Source organism: Homo sapiens, chromosome 1, assembly GCF_000001405.40.
Source record: "Homo sapiens chromosome 1, GRCh38.p14 Primary Assembly".
NCBI lineage: Eukaryota > Metazoa > Chordata > Mammalia > Primates > Hominidae > Homo > Homo sapiens.
Genome location: NC_000001.11, coordinates 233,968,041 through 233,983,882, shown reverse-complemented (window position 1 = coordinate 233,983,882; position 15,842 = coordinate 233,968,041). Strand labels below are relative to the sequence as shown.

Genomic DNA, 15,842 nt, shown 5'->3' with positions numbered 1-15,842 from the left:
CACTGATTCCAAATCCAAAGGAAACTCACAAATGCTCAGATATGCCGCCTCATGGGGCTCTTTTATTTGCTTCTAAAATTTTGACTGAGAGAAATGGTCCCTATTTATTGCTTTTACAGTGAGAACACCAGTGGGAGATTTCACTTTAATTTGAAGTTATGTATATTGGACACTGATCATCTTAAATTCTGTTGATGAAGTGGTTTCCAAAGGAGCTAGCTGGTAATGATGGCTAGCAAGGGAAGAAGGAAATCTGCAACCTTAAACTTCGCATGCAAATTAAGAAACTGACAATAGAGGAAACACTTGGAGTAATTCTATCTGTAAAAGGTAGGATAAAAGTTAAACAGAAATCATCAAAGATATTTTTCACGTTTTATACTCTTGCCTTTTGCTATGCTTCTGTGGGGGTACTGCACAAATAGAAATCGATTGTAGATGTTTTATGAAATTACTCAATTTTTCAAAATTAAATTTGTAGGGAGGATATTATTTATGAATCCAATTCTGTTGTAAATGAAGTTACCACCTTCCTCCTATAATAAGGTACTTGTTCCCGAGCTCGATGAAGGATTGTGTAATAAAGGAAACAAATAGTCCTTCTTTTGGCTTAATTAATTTTTTTTTAATCTTAATGTAACAAGTTTCATGATGGCAAAAAATTTGAAATGTATTTTCTGATTGTTGAGAGATAGAGAGGGAGGGCGGCAGAGGGAGGACTTGATCTCAAAGATGAATACAAAGTTCTGTGGTTTCTTTATTGTTCTTGGTGCACTTTCTTATCAGGGATGAAAAATGAGCTTCTAGTAAGAGCAGGGGGATGACGTGCAGCCACGTGGAGAGCTACAGGAACTGCGCTCCTACCTGCCCCTGGCACACACCTGGCACGCGCCTGCTCCTGGTCATATCCTGCTCTTTCAGATCTTGGTTCAGCTCCAGGGTTCCCAACTCCCCTGGTTAGGCAAGGTCCCTCTTGCCATCATCTGTTCTCATAGCACCCACAGTTCTCCCTCAGAATCCTTTATGACCACAGCTAAAAATTTCTAACAGGGTAGTTGTTAACGTCTCCCTCCCGATCAGAGAATAAACTTTGTGTAGGCAGGGACAATGATGTTTGTTCATTGCCAAATCCTCAGGTGCTGTGTCGGTGCCTTGCATATAGTCAGTAAACAAACAAACAAAAAAAAGATGTGGGTATCTGACAAAAGAATCATATCTAAAATATATAAAGAACTCTCCCCAGCACTTTGGGAGGCCAAGGTGGGCGGATCACCTGAGGTCAGGAGTTCGAGACCAGGCTGACCAACATGGAGAAACCCCATCTCCACTAAAAATACAAAATTAGCCGAGCATGGTGGCGCATGCCTGTAAACCCAGCTACCCAGGAGGCTGAGGCAGGAGAATCACTTGAACCCGGGAGACAGAGGTTGCACTGAGCCAAGGTCATGCCATTGCACTCCAGCCTGGGCAACAAGAGCAAAACTATGTCAAAAAATAAAATAAAATAAAAATAAATTTAAAAAAACCTCTCAAACTGAACAGTTAAAAAAATCTAAAAATCAATTTAAAAATGGACAAAAGACGTGGACTGATAGTACAGTTCACCAAAGAGGGTATTTAAATGGCAAATGGGCACACAGAAGTATGTTCAACATCACAGCTGGGCGTCATGGCTCATGCCGGTAATCCCAAGACTTTGGAAGGCCGAGGCGGGCAGATTGCTTGAGGCCAGGAGTTTGAGACCAGCCTGGCCAACATGGCAAAACCCCATCTCTACTAAAAATTTAAAAAAATTAGTTGGGCGTGGTGGCACAAGCCTGTGGTTCCAACCACTCAGGCAGCTGAGGCACGAGAATCACTTGAACCTGGAAGGTGGAGGTTGCAGTGAGGTTGCACCACTGCACTGCAGCCTGGGCGACAGAGGGAGACTCTGTCTCAACAACAACAAAAAAACGTTCAACATCATTAGCTATTAGGAAAATGCAAATTAAAAACATGGTGAGATATTATTACGTACCTACTAGAACATTAAAATAAACAATAGCAATGACATCAAACGCTGTCAAGGATGCAGAGAAATGAGATCATTCACACACTGCTATTTGGAATGTAAAATACTACCACCACTTTGAAAAACACTTTGGCAGTTTCTTAAAAAATTAAACATACACTTACTACGCAACCCAAAAACTGCATTCCTGAGCTTTTTTTTTTTTTCCAGAGAAAAGTGGAATTCTGTCCACACAAAGACCTGTACATGAATGTTCATGGCAACTTTATTCATACCAGCCAAACACTTAAGACAACATGGATGTTCTTCAATGCGTAGACAGTAAAACAAATTGTGACACATCCACGCTGTTGAATCCCGCTCAGCAAGAAAAAGCAAGGATCCTGCACCACGTGACTTGGATGAATCTCCAGGACCTTCTGCTGAGAGAAAGAAGCCAGTCTCAGAAGATGAGATTATACGATATGATTCCATGTGTATAGCATTCTTGAAATAACAGAAGTATAGAGATGGGGAAGAGATTAGTGATTGTGTAGGGTTAGAGGCGGCAGAAAAAGGAGTAAGCGTGACTGTGAAGGGGCAGCATGAGGTAGATCTTTGTGGTGAAGGATCCGTTCTGTGTCTTGATTATGCAATGCATAAAGTACACACACACACACGTACACATAAAACTGATGAAATCTTAATAAAGTCTGTGGATTGTACCCAAGTCAATTTCCTGGTTGTGATATTGTACTATAGTTATGTAAAATGCTACCAGCGGGGAAAACTGAATGAGGCATACACAGTATCTCTTTCTGTTCTTTCTGTATCTTTCCATCCATCTTTAATTACTTCAAAATTAAAAGATAAAAACTCAGACACTTCCCATGTGTGTGAGTTAGGAGGACAAAAATGAACTAATTTATCTATGCTTTAGTTTCTTCACTTTCAAAATGAGGGAAATAATATTACCTAGTAGATTTGTCATGAGGATTAGATTTGTTAATGCATTAAACATGCTAAGACAATGCTTGTCACCAAATGCCCAATGAATGTTGCCTATTATTATTTGATAATAGTAATGATTACTATCAATTATCACAATTGACAGTACGATGTGAAGGGAGCTCAAATTTCTCACTTGTTTCAGTGTATTAACAAAATCATCATCATTCTTTTAAAAATTCAGTTTCACATAGGTACAAAGATGAAAATATAACATCATTCCGTTTGGAAATTCTCAGCTTATTTCAAGCTGAGAATCCACTAAAGACCGAGATGTGCCCTCAGTCTTTAGTCACGCACCTTGCCTTCTCCCACGAGGGCCAGAAGAAGAGCCAATTCTGGCAGTTTAGGCTTCTAGAAAGCAATAACCCTGAGCATGCTCAACACGGGGGAGTCAGAAAGTCCCTGCAAGGGATGTGGGCTGGGGAGACACAGGCCTTGCAGTGGGAGTAGCATGATGCGGAGAAGAGACCAAGGCCAAGTCCCAGGTGGGCACTAATTCATTCTGCCTTTTAAGTCCTGGGCTTTTTATGGGCCATCATTGTCGTTGGCATCATCATCATCAACACTGTATTGTGAGGCTTTTGAGAGCCAGGCTGCTTGCTCTTGAATCTCTAGGACCTAACACAGGGTCTGGTATATAGTAGATGCAAAATAAGTATCTGCTGAATTGAGAATCTGTAATTTCTTCTCATTCTTCCCAACACCAAAGTCCTCCTCATCCTTCAAGGGCATATTCTATGTTCTTCACAAGGCTGTGTGTGTGGTAAAGATTAAAAGAAATGGTTGCAAAGGCAGAGCTGGCACACAACACGCATAGTGGGAACTCAAACATACCAGTCCTCTCTACCTCCTGCCAGGAAGCCTGGCTATATCTTAGAGGGGCACAACTGGTGGAGATCAGGTGCAGGGGTGACAGCCCTGTCTGCTTTCAGGTTGCCCAAACCCACCTCAGCCTCACCAGGTCACCTGAAGTTGATGGTGACAAGACTTATGCCATCACGACCACGGGCTCCCTCACCTATCAAACGACGGAACCAGATGGAGTTCCCATGGAGTTTCTTTAATTTTCATATGCCTGTGGCTACATATCACCCTTCTGCATCAGACCGGTGCAGCCTGTTCAGAACCCATAACCACTCACCTACAGAAGCAGGTGGCCCCAGTGCATTAACCCCAGGAGCAAGAAGTGAAAGTCTGAATGAAGAGCAGCTATCCGTTGCTGAAAGTTTTTTTTAAAACAGTGCATGGAGCCTAAGCAGTTCCCACCTATTTTATTGCTTTGACCTAACCTATCCAATGACGAGGCAATATATCTATCCACAGAGCACACGCTATTTAACATCTGTCCACCTGGGTAAGGTCTCTGCAAGATGAATGAGCCTACTGCTGTCATTCGTAGAAGCGAGCGAACAAAGTTAGGCTGCCAAATATAAGGACAAAATGTCCTTTCTCTTCATATCATGCTGTCTGAAAGGCTTGGGTACTGTTCGGCCCGAATAATTCACCATATGCCTGCTTTTATTATTCCTGTGGGCCTTAAACTCAAATTGCTTTTCTAATCATTTTGGCAGAGTTAAAAATCCCCTAACGTGAAGAGAGACTTGAATGTCCAGATGGAACCAGCTCTCCCATTTTACAGATGAGAAAACTGGTGCTGAGAGGCCAGGTACCTTCCTGAAGCACAGAAAGGAGCAGTGTAAGTAAGAATTGAAATTCAAGTCTTCTTAGACCACGTTCTGTGGACTGGCCTGGCCCTGAATCACACTGTTCATTTCATTTAATTCTTTTTCTTTTTCTTTTTTGTTTTTTTGTTTTGTTTTGCTTTTTGTTTTTTTTTTTTTAATTGGAAACGGAGTTTCACTCTGTCGTCCAGGCTGGAGTGCAATGGCTGAATCTCGGCTCACTGCAACCTCTGCCTCCCAGGCTCAAGCGATTCTCCTGCCTCAGCCTCCCGAGTAGCTGGGATTACAGGCATCCACCACCAGGTCTAAAAATACTAATTTTTGTATCTTTAGTAGAGATGGGGGTTTAACTATGTTGGCCAGGCTGGTCCTGAACTCCTGACCTCAGGTGATCCGCCCGCCTCGGCCTCCCAAAGTGCTGGGATTACAGGCGTGAGCCACCGCACCTGACTTCATTTAATCCTTAACAACTATTTTCCCTTACTTTCTGGATGAGATCAGAGGTGACATCCTATAAACACCATGAATGATGCAGTGGCAAGACATCAGGAGCAGAGCTCTCTGGTAGAAAATTATTCATAAACCCACACAAGGGTACACTTTCTTCCCCACAGGGATCCTGGATTGCAGCCGCAGTCCCAGCATCAGGTTTTGTCTAGGAAGACTTCAGCTGTTTATTGTCATTATAGTCATCATCTGTTTTAGTGCCTTGTAATATGGGGTGGCTTTAGGTAACAACCAGGTTCTTTGGAAAACAAATGTATTCTACACACAAGTCTGTGCAGAAGAGAACCAATAAAACCCTCGTCATTACATACGCCTTTAAGAAGTCTTCTTTGTAAAATAAGAAATCAATGCAATTGAATCACGTTCATGCAATCAGGCAGTGGTTCCACATACAACCTCAGTGTGGCATGAACAATGTAGATTGATAGTGGCCAAAAACAGCGCGGTGTGCTGGATACCTTCAACAAGCCACTGCCAACCCAGTTTCTCTGCTCTGTCCTGTCTCCCTTTACTACCTTTTTTTTTCCTTCTTCAGAGCCTTGCCTCCTCCAGTGGCAAACACCTGCTAGCCTCCAGCAACCTCAATCAACTTCCCCAGAGTCAAGCACGTGGGACATCCCAGCAACCTGCAGAAATACTTTACTGGATGCAGGGATAGCTTCCGGACACCTGATGGTATGGCCTAGAAGGAAACCTATGAGTTGCTATCCCTTGTCGTCTCTGAACCTGCATAAAGCAGAGGTACAGCTCCTTCCCACTTTCTGTTTGAGGTCATCAGGCTTCTCCTAATTTTCCATGTCAAACAAAAAGCATCCACTCACCGAGTCCAAACGCCCTGGCCTGACAATTGCTTACTTTGCCAGAAGTCCTGCTTGGTAGACTTATAAGACTTGTATCTGCATCTTGAGCGCAGAGCAGCACCTGCAATACTATGGGCAACTTAATAAGCAAATATCTGAACTGCTGTTGAGGGCTTCAGTCCCAAGACAGACTTGATGCCATAATTTATGCAAGCAAGTGGCCAAAATGTTTCATGGATGATGAGGATATTAGTACAATTTATCAGCACATAGCAACAATACTTAAAATATATAGCATAGAGTAGCCCTCAGGAAATACTATGAAGTAGATACTTCATGATTGCAATCCTGAAAAAGAGAATCCAACAGCAAGGCCACTGTTGTACGTGCAGCTCCCTGTCCCCTAACTCTATCAGATGATACCAGAACCAGGTACTCTGGCACATTGGGAGGTGAGAGAGCTGAACTCTGAGCCCTTGCTTCTTTAATATGAGAGCTGTGACTACAAAGGCCTGCCTTCTCTGTGAATTTTCTCTTCTAAAAGACAAAGCTGCAATTTTGTAATCCCATAAGCATATGGAGGTGGATGACTTGTTCAACTCTCTAATAAAATTACTTGCAAGAAACAGCTATCGCAGGAAGAGAAAAGAATATTTGCAACAACTTAAGGGAAGCACCAGGCTCCAAAACACAAGCCCAGAGAGAAGCAGGTGCAGGGCTGCAATATGGAAGCCTGACTCTCAGACCCACGGGGAGGTGGGTGGATGGGACACTGCTGGCTGAGCTAACCTGAAGGGCATGCGCAGAGCCCCTTTCACCAGGTGACATTTGAAAGTCCTACTCTTTAACTTTAACAAGGATGCTTTGAGAAAGGTCTCCCAGAGCTGGCTTCTGTATTTGCTGTAAACCCACAGTGAGAGCAATTGTCAAAAGGCTACCAGTATCACATTTGGATGATAACTTCTCTTTAAAATTGAGTACCAGCCGGGCATGGTGGCTCACGCCTGTAATTCCAGCACTTGGGGAGGCCGAGGTGGGTGGATTACCTGAGGTCAGGAGTTTGAGACCAGCCTTACGAACATGGTGAAACCATGTCTCTACTAAAAACACAAAAATTAGCTGGGCGTGGTGGCAGACACCTGTAATCCCAGCTCCTTGGGAGGCTGAGGCAGGAGAATTGCTTGAACCCAGGAGTCAGAGGTTGCAGTGAGCTGAGATGGTGCCACTGCACTCCAGTCTGGGTGACAGAGTGAAACTCCATCTCAAGAAAAAAAAAAATTGAGTACCAACCATACTATGAAATTATGCACAACATTACAGATTTTGTTTACAGATACTTTTAAATGACATAGCAATAAAAGTAAACTCAAAATAGGACACACACTGAGAAAACAACAGGTACATCTTCATGTATAGTTTGAAGCCGAGAAGCTAGTAAAATACAGCAGAACGCTGACTATTGCTGAAGTTGTGCTGGATATATGGGAGATCTCTACTCTGCTCCCTACTTTTGCGTAAGCCTGCAATTTACCATAGTAAGAAGGATAAAAAAAGAAAAATGAAAGGAGTTGTTAAAAATAGAATAAAATGTGAACTGTGTTTAATATTGTGTAGTAGGATCAGTGACAATTTCTGCTTTTTCTTGTTTATCTTTTCATGCCATCTTAAAATTTTCTACAAGGAGACTATAGTATCTTTATGATAAAGAGCCAGGCTACTTAAAAAACATTGTGCCATAAAAATGTAGATTTTCTTAAAAATTTGTCTCCTCCTCCTCTGTCTTTCTCCCTCCCTCCTCCTCCTTCGCCTTCTTCATAACAAAAATTATATAACCCAGCATATTTTCTTTTTTGCACTGGTTCACTAAGGGTAATGATCTTACGTTTCAGGATTATCTTATTTCTTCCTCTTTCTCATGGCCCTGATATGCCATCTCTAACTCACGCACATATAAAACACACACCATACGTGTGTACACCTCTGGGTCATTTATTGAAGCACATCTTCAAGTCCTTTCTGGAAACAGAGGAGCAGAAAGCCAGTACAGGCAGGTCTAAGGGCTGTCCAGTTCCACCCCTGCCCTGGCAACCTGCACCTCCGAGCTGCACATGTGCTCCGGGTACTGAGAACTTCCTGAGCCTCCCGTGGCCACTCTGGGTGCTGGCCGACGCATGTCGCCCTGGGCAGCAGCTCCCAGCCACTTCCTCACTGGATGGCCTGTTGCTCCCCGTTCAACCACGCTCCTGCCCACAGCAGCGCCCCTCTCCCACCACAAAGTGCCCTTGGAGTCCCATCATGGATATCATGTCTATCACTAACAGTCGGCAAGGACGGCCCCTCTGGTGCTGCCATTATTTCCTCATTTGTCAAATGGGGAAAGAGCAACTTGTCTTCATTCTCCCCCCAAACACAATCTGCCAGACTCACGGGGCCGTGATTGACACAGGTTATTTCAGCTTCTTGGAGAAAGGTATTCCGCAGTTATGGCATACTAAAATTGGTTTTCCAAGGTCCCCTAAGGGCTCTGGCTCAGTAACATGGAGGGTTCCATCAGTGAGCACTTTCTGCCATTAGCAACTACCAGGGGTCTATGACTTTCCAGCTGGGTGCTTGTTTTTAACATCAAAATGCTGCCCCTTATTTTATCCACAGAAACCCTTTAACTACCTTGTAAGGTTGTATTTATCAAAATATGGTCTATGGACCACCTACATAAGAAGGGCACAGAGCAGTTGTTAAAATGCAGGTTCCTAGGCCGCAGGCCTGACTTCCTGACTCTGACTCTCTGGGAATGGGGCCTGGAAATCTTCATTCTGGCTTCTCTGTAGATGATGGTCTTCACTTGTTCAGAGCCTCTACTTTGCAGCCTCGCTCACCTTCCATGCCCAGGGGTGTCCCTGAACTACATAGCTTATCTTGATGTCTTCTCTCTAAGCCTTTCTGAGCTTTGCACCTTGTTATGCACAGGTTAGAATCTGATTCCATTTACTTCTCCAACATTACGTTATGTGGTACGTTTCCCTCCAACATTATGATCTCAGAATAATCAAGGTCTACATCTCTTGTGCATAGTAAATGTCCAAATCCCTCTTTTCAGTTTCTCTGGGACAAAAAATGAACAAAACTCTGACTTTTGAGAAAACTCAAATGTCTTTGCTGCACGTTTAGTACATTCATGTCACTGACATGTTTGTGGAGAGCATGGAGCCACTGCTTCGAAACTATGAAAATCAATCCCAAGAGTTGATGAGAACAAAGACATAAGAAACAGCAAATGGGTAGAAAGTAGATTAAAATGAAAGGAAGTGCTAACTGGGCCACTATGAGAAAACTTGACTTTGCTCAAGGAGGAAGAACACAATTTGGTTTCCAGTATAATCACTCAAATTAGTTTTATTAGAGAACAAATAGAGGCCGGGCACGGTGGCTCACACCTGTATCCCAGCACTTTGGGAGGCTGAAGCAGGCAGATCACCTGAGGTCAGGAGTTTGAGACCAGCCTGGCCAACATGGAGAAACTACGTCTACTAAAAATACAAAATCTGCCGAGGGTGGTGGTGGGCACCTGTAATCCCAGCTACTCAGGAGGCGGAGGAAGGAGAATTGCTTGAACCCAGGAGGCGGAGGTTGCAGTGAGCCGAGATTGTGCCATTGCACTTCAGCCTGGGCAACAAGAGTGAAACTCCATCTCAAAAAAAAAAAAAAAAAAAAAAAAAAAGAAATAGAAATACATCCTGGAATGTAATAGTCTCCTGCCCAAGAGTGGGTTTAGCTTTTTCCTGGAAAACTAACGTTTTCAGGGAACGAAAAGAACATTGCCATCAGATAAAGTTTCTATTCAATAAGCAAACGTACCAAGTCATCAGTATGGATTTACATGTAGCCAGAGGCTTGGAGAAATAATCAAAAATCAGTATGAAGGTATTAGATAGGCTAAAATTATTTCTTCAGAATCAATTGTCTAGCCAAGTCTGTAATCAGACTTCTGACTAGCTAAGTAATACAAGGACAGTCTGCACTGGTTTCAAAAAGAAAAGAAAAGAAAAAAAATTTATGCTTAGAAATTACCAGTTTCAGCAAAAGCTGAACCTGTTCACAATGCTAATAAAAGTTTCATTAAGATTAAGGTTAAGCTGCTCTATCTCTGCCATGTGACCACGTGCATTTGTGCTTTTTTTCCACACCTCAGTGGAAGTGTCTGCCTTGCTTCCCCACCCACGTGGCCAAAGAGACCTGTGCATACATCTCGCTTAGCCTTTTGTCGGTTATAAATTGTACCTACAGACTTCAGCCTCTCATCTAACTCATAAGCTTCTCAGCAACAGGAACCATGTCTCACAAGACTCTGCATCCTCAATTCCTCCCAAGAACCTGGGAAGTAGCTGAAGCATCGTTAATGTCTGAGTATTTCTGAAAGCTCATCTGTATTTACAGTCAATGCCATCAGACTCCATTTTGCAATATCATACTCGATCCCCAAGTTGTTCAAGATTGCGGGATTACTGGGCCACCTCATGTGCCTGAACATGGTCTTCCTGGACCCCTACTTGAAATGACCCGGGGAATCTGTCTTCCCCTCCTTGTAACTGCTCAGCTTTCCATGGCACCTTTCACCACTAGAGGTGCCCAGACTGTGAAGTCAAGTCCTGGGGCTCTGCTTTGCAAGCTGTGGCTCTCACAGACCCTAGATTTCAGCACCAAAATATATTATTCTCGACTCTACAGGGGACATGGGAGCCATGTGCCTCTGATGACTAATGCACCCTGCAGATGTGGCTGCTGAGTCACATGATTTTATCGTGACCCAAGGGGACAGTGTCTTTTTGCCTTCAGGCATATTTATTGCCAGAGACAAGAAGTGTGGTCAGATGAGGACACAGAGCTATGATGAGCCTGGGGCTCCTCTTTTAGTCACAGTGGGGACCAATATGACAGGGGAAGGGCAAGGCACAGTGGGCTCAGGTGGCCCTGGGTCAGGGCTGTCTGCCGTTGATTTCCAGCCTTGTTACTTAGTGACATGGTGAAATGGCCCCAATGCCTGAATCTTACATTTCTCATCTCTAAAATAAATAAAACAGCCAACTATCAGACTTGAGTGACAATTAAATTATACAATGTATGTAAGTCATCACGATGCCTCATACACCCAAGTAATGTTTGAACAGAGAAATGAGAAAAAGGCCTTCGTTGTCCATCTTGACCTCTCCTCTGAATCTGTTGTAATAATTATGATGATGATGATAATGATAATAACCATGATTTACCAGGCTCGCCATGTGCCAGGCTCTATCCTAAATGCTGTGCATGGTTTGGTCCATTTGCTCCTCAAAACAGCCATGTGAGGTAATATCAGCACTGTCCACATCTTCAAGATGAGGAAACTGAGGCACAGAGAGGAGTCACACTGCTATAGAAGGTGGAGCTAGGACTCAATCCCAGCTGTGCTCTTAATCATTACTCTTCACTGTTTATACCCATCTAGGAACAGGGAAATATATCATACATATATATAAAACATAAAGAGCTCACATTTACTGAGTGTTCATAATGTTTCAGCCATCATGTAAAATATGCTTGATGCTTCTTGACATATTATGCTGTTTAATGTTCAGATAAGTCCTTTGACCTAGACGTCACAATTCACCTGTTTAATCCTGGGGACACTGAGGTAGGATTTGAAGCCCAGCAGTCTAACACCAAAGCTCATGGGCTTAAACAATCCACCACGCTGTTCTCATTTCAAACAGACAATCACACATTTGCAGCCAGCAACCTTAGTTGTCATGGCCAAATAGCTTTTGTACATTGTTTCAAATACTGTTACCCGAGGAGCCATGGGTGAAAGGGGAGTGACAGCCACCAGCTGCTGGGGCTCCCTCACCTCCAGGGTCCCTGACACACACACGGCACTGGCACAGGTTGAGGCATTGTGCAGGCCAGCACGCTGTAGGCTGAGCTCTCGGGCAGCGGGGGATGTCCCTTCCCCTCAGGGGTGACAGGCCTGGGCCATGCAGGGTGTAAGTGGATGGTCAATCCTTTCCAGTATGTGCCTCAGCCTCCCTCTCATGCAGTCGATGCCCAGCTAATAAGACTGGTCTTTGGTCAACCGTGGTCCCATTGTTGACCACAAGGGAGTCAGCAGAGGAGGCCTGGGTATCTTTTTTTTTTTTTTTTTGAGTCGGAGTCTCGCTCTGTCACCCAGGCTGGAGTGCAGTGGCGTGATCTCGGCTCACTGCAATCTCCACCTCCCGGGTTCAAGCAATTCTCTGCCTCAACCTCCCAAGTAGCTGGGATTACAGGCTACCACCACCACGCTGGCTAATTTTTGTATTCTTAGTAAAGACAGGGTTTCACCATGTTGGCTGGGCTGGTCTTGAACTCCTGACCTTGTGATCCACCCGCCTCGGCCTCCCAAAGTGCTGGGATTTCACGCCTGTGCGTGAGCCACCGCGCCCAGCTGGGTATCTTTTGATAACTGTCCTTATTTTCATAGGATTTGACCTGAAGAGCAGTTTTTTCCTCCTCTCTTTCCTTGCTGTCACCAGACACTACATTAAAATTTTGTTTACCAACAGCTCTCAGAAGTGGTTCTTCTCCTTCGTAATGAGGTTCAGTTTTAGTCGGAGGGAACTGTGATGAAGTGGGTCTGGAAAGGGGCCTCTCCCTTCTGGGCAGCCAGTGCTCCCTTTACTTGGCTGACGACTCTGAAATTGGAGGAGAGGGTATGTGTGCACCCCAGTCAGATGTATATCAATGCCATTCAGATTCAGAAGCAAATTCTGCACATTGGCTCATGGTGCCTGTGATCAGAAGGGAAGTCCCTGGCTTTCAACACTCTGCCTCTGTGTCAGGGTCTAGACATGAGTGAAGAGGCTAGCCACATACAGAAAGATAAAAACAAAACAATTCTTCTCATTCAGTGCCATTGAATAAGCCCAGCTAAAGAGTATCCTGCAAGTTTAGGAATTGAACACAGTCTAAAATCCTTATTAGCTTGCTAGGACTGCCATAACAAAGAACCACATAAACAGTGGTTTAAGCAATAGAAATGTATGCTCTCACACTGCTGGAGGCTGGAAGGCTGAGATCCAGGTGTCTGCAGCATTGGTCTCTTCTGAGGCCTCTCTCCTTAGCCTGCAGATGGCCGTCTTCTCTCTGTCTCTTCATATAGTCTTCCCTTGATGTCTCTGTCCCTAAATTTTCTCTTCTTATTAAGACACAAGGCCTATTGGATTGGGGCCCACCCTAATGACCTCATTTTAATTTAACTGCCTCTTTAAAGGCCCTGTCTTCAAATATAGCCATGTTCGGAGATACTAGGGGTTAGGACTTCAGCAAGTGAATTTGGGAGGTGGGACACATTTCAGCCTATCAAACTCCACCCCCTGCCCCCTAAATTCATGTCCTTTTCCTCATGCAAGATACATTCACCTCATTCAAAAGCCCTCAAATCTTAACCCAGTCTGGCATCAACTCTAAGCCCAAAATCTCATGTAATATTATCTGCATCAGGCACAGGTGAGACTCGAGGTCTGATCCATCCTCAGGCTGTGGGTCTTGCCGTTGTTTGGATCACAGACCCTTGAAGGGGGTGGCTTCTTCTGAAGAACTCACTGAGCATTCCCATCACTGTTCCCTTTCCCAAGACCCCCAGAAGGTGGCCGGGTGCTAACTCTGATGCCCATCCAGCAGACAGGAGGAGACACAATTAGTGGTGCACCAGTCCCAGGTGTCACCATAAGGCTGGGTCAGGCTGTGGCAGAGGCCACCAGTGCTTGCCCATCATCTCCTTTCCTCCTTTTATTTTCAAACAGGACCCTTGCATTGCTGAGAGGTAGCAAACTGTCCCACTAGAAGTATTTTTCCAAGCCTCCCTTAGACAGAGGGCATCCGATGAGGCAGGAGCAGAAGTCATTGGTCAGGGCTCCCAGGAAGCTCTGGAAGGGAGCCTTACTCAGAGAGGAGAGAGAATCCTTCCCCGTTCCCCAGCCATTTCTCCTGCCTGGAGGGAAGGTGTGATGACCAGATCTCAGAATCCAGGATCCTCGATGGTGGAGCAGACAGACAAGAGGGGCCTGCATCTCACAGGATCTCATGGCACCACCCTACTAGCCTTGGCTTGCATAGTTATGGAACTCACGTGAAGTGAGAGAAAAACAGAGACTTATCTTTTCATACGATTACTATTTCAGGTCTTTCTTAGCAGTCATTCGAACGAGCCATGCCTTCCAACACTAGGCCCAATGCCCTGTGCTGCAGTCTACATTCCAGACTTAATTACTTGTGACTTTTATGTGACAGTTTTTCTTTGAAGAAGCAGGGGAGCTACACAGAGAGATTTCAAACAGCTAATCTTCCTCTCACTGCCCAACAGAGGTGCAGGAACACCAGGAGAACAGACAGGAGGTGGCCACACTAAGGCAGGAACGGCACCAGAGAGAAGAAAGGAAAGAAGAAGGGCAAAGGATGGGAGGCGCTAAGATGAGGAGGCACCGCAGATGGCAGCCCCCAGAGCTGCACCTCCTGATGATCACACCATGTCAGCTCTCCACCGACAGTGCCCATCATGACCGCACACGCGGCCACTGCACAGAACTCTCTGCCCATTGAAAATCAGCCATTCCTATAGCCCCTTTAGATCCTCTGGTCTTCGTGGAAGGGGAAACATCTCAGGAGAAATAGATCAAAATCGGCATGGAGGAGACTTCAGACGTCTGAAAACTGAAGATGAGAATTGCAAAAAAGGAGGAAAAATTAGGCAACATTTTGTAAACTTTGCTTGGCTGAAATGTGTATACTCTATGTTATGGGTTGAATTGTGTCCCCCCCCCCAAAATATGTCAAAATTCTAACTCCTAGTACCTCATAATGGGATCTTCTTTAGAAATGGGGTCTTTGAAATCGTGTCCTTTGCAACAACACAGATGCAGCTAGAGGCCAATTAATGCAAATTAATGCAGGAACAGAAAACCAAATACTGCATGTTCTCACTTATAAGTGGGAGGTAAACATTAAGTATACATGATCATAAAGACAGGAATAATAGAAATTAGGGATTACTAGAAGAGGGAGAGTGGGAGGGGGATGAGGGTTGAAAAACTACCTATTGGCTGGGTGCAGTGGCTCATGCCTATAATACCAGCACTTTGGGAGGACGAGATGGGTGGATCACTTGAGGTAAGGAGTTCAAGACCAGCCTGGCCAAGATGGTGAAACCCCGTGTTTACTAAAAATACAAAAGTTAGCAGGGTGTGGTGGTGTGCACCTGTAATCCTAGCTACTTGGGAGGCCGAGGCAGAATCACTTGAACCCAGGAGACAGAGGTTGCAGTGAGCCAAGATTATGCCACCACACTCCAGCATGGGTGACAGAGTGAAACTGTCTCAAAAACAAAAGAAAAAGAAAAAGAAAAAGAAAAAGAAAAACTACCTATTTAGTACTATGCTCACATTTGTATACCAAACTTCAGTGACACACAATTTACCCATGTAACAAACTTGCACATATGCTTTCTGAATCTAAAATAAAAGTTGGAAAAAAAAAGAAATAGGGTCATTTCAGATGTCATTAGTTAAGATAAGGTCATACCGGAGTCAAAAGGACCCCTAATCCAAAATGATTTGTGTCCTTATAAGAAGTCAGCCATGTGAAGACTCAGACACTCAGGCAGAATGCACTCAGGGAGATATGAAGATGGAGGCAGAGATTGGAGTGATGGATCCACAAGCTAAGAAATGCCATTGACTGCTGGCAACCCCCAGAAACTAGGAGAGAGGGAGAGAGGCATGCGACAGATTCTCCCTCACAGCTCTTAGAAGGAACCCACTGTGCAGATCCCTCCATCTGGGACTT

At 44.4% G+C, this 15,842-nt stretch overlaps 1 protein-coding gene across 1 annotated transcript in view, besides 1 other annotated feature; it reads right to left on the bottom strand.

The window, feature by feature from the left end:
* SLC35F3 (solute carrier family 35 member F3) overlaps window positions 1-15,842 on the bottom strand; it is a 419,836-nt gene that overhangs the window by 340,629 nt on the left and 63,365 nt on the right. The window lies entirely within an intron of this gene.
* Window positions 10,247-10,449: a silencer, noted in NCBI's record as "fragment chr1:234109180-234109382 (GRCh37/hg19 assembly coordinates)". NCBI's record gives its function as "represses an EF-1alpha promoter that drives an FKBP-Casp9 reporter gene in an ReSE screen in both phorbol 12-myristate 13-acetate-treated (for megakaryocytic differentiation) and untreated K562 erythroleukemia cells {active_cell/tissue: K562 | K562(+PMA)}" and the evidence as "EXISTENCE:reporter gene assay evidence [ECO:0000049][PMID:32094911]".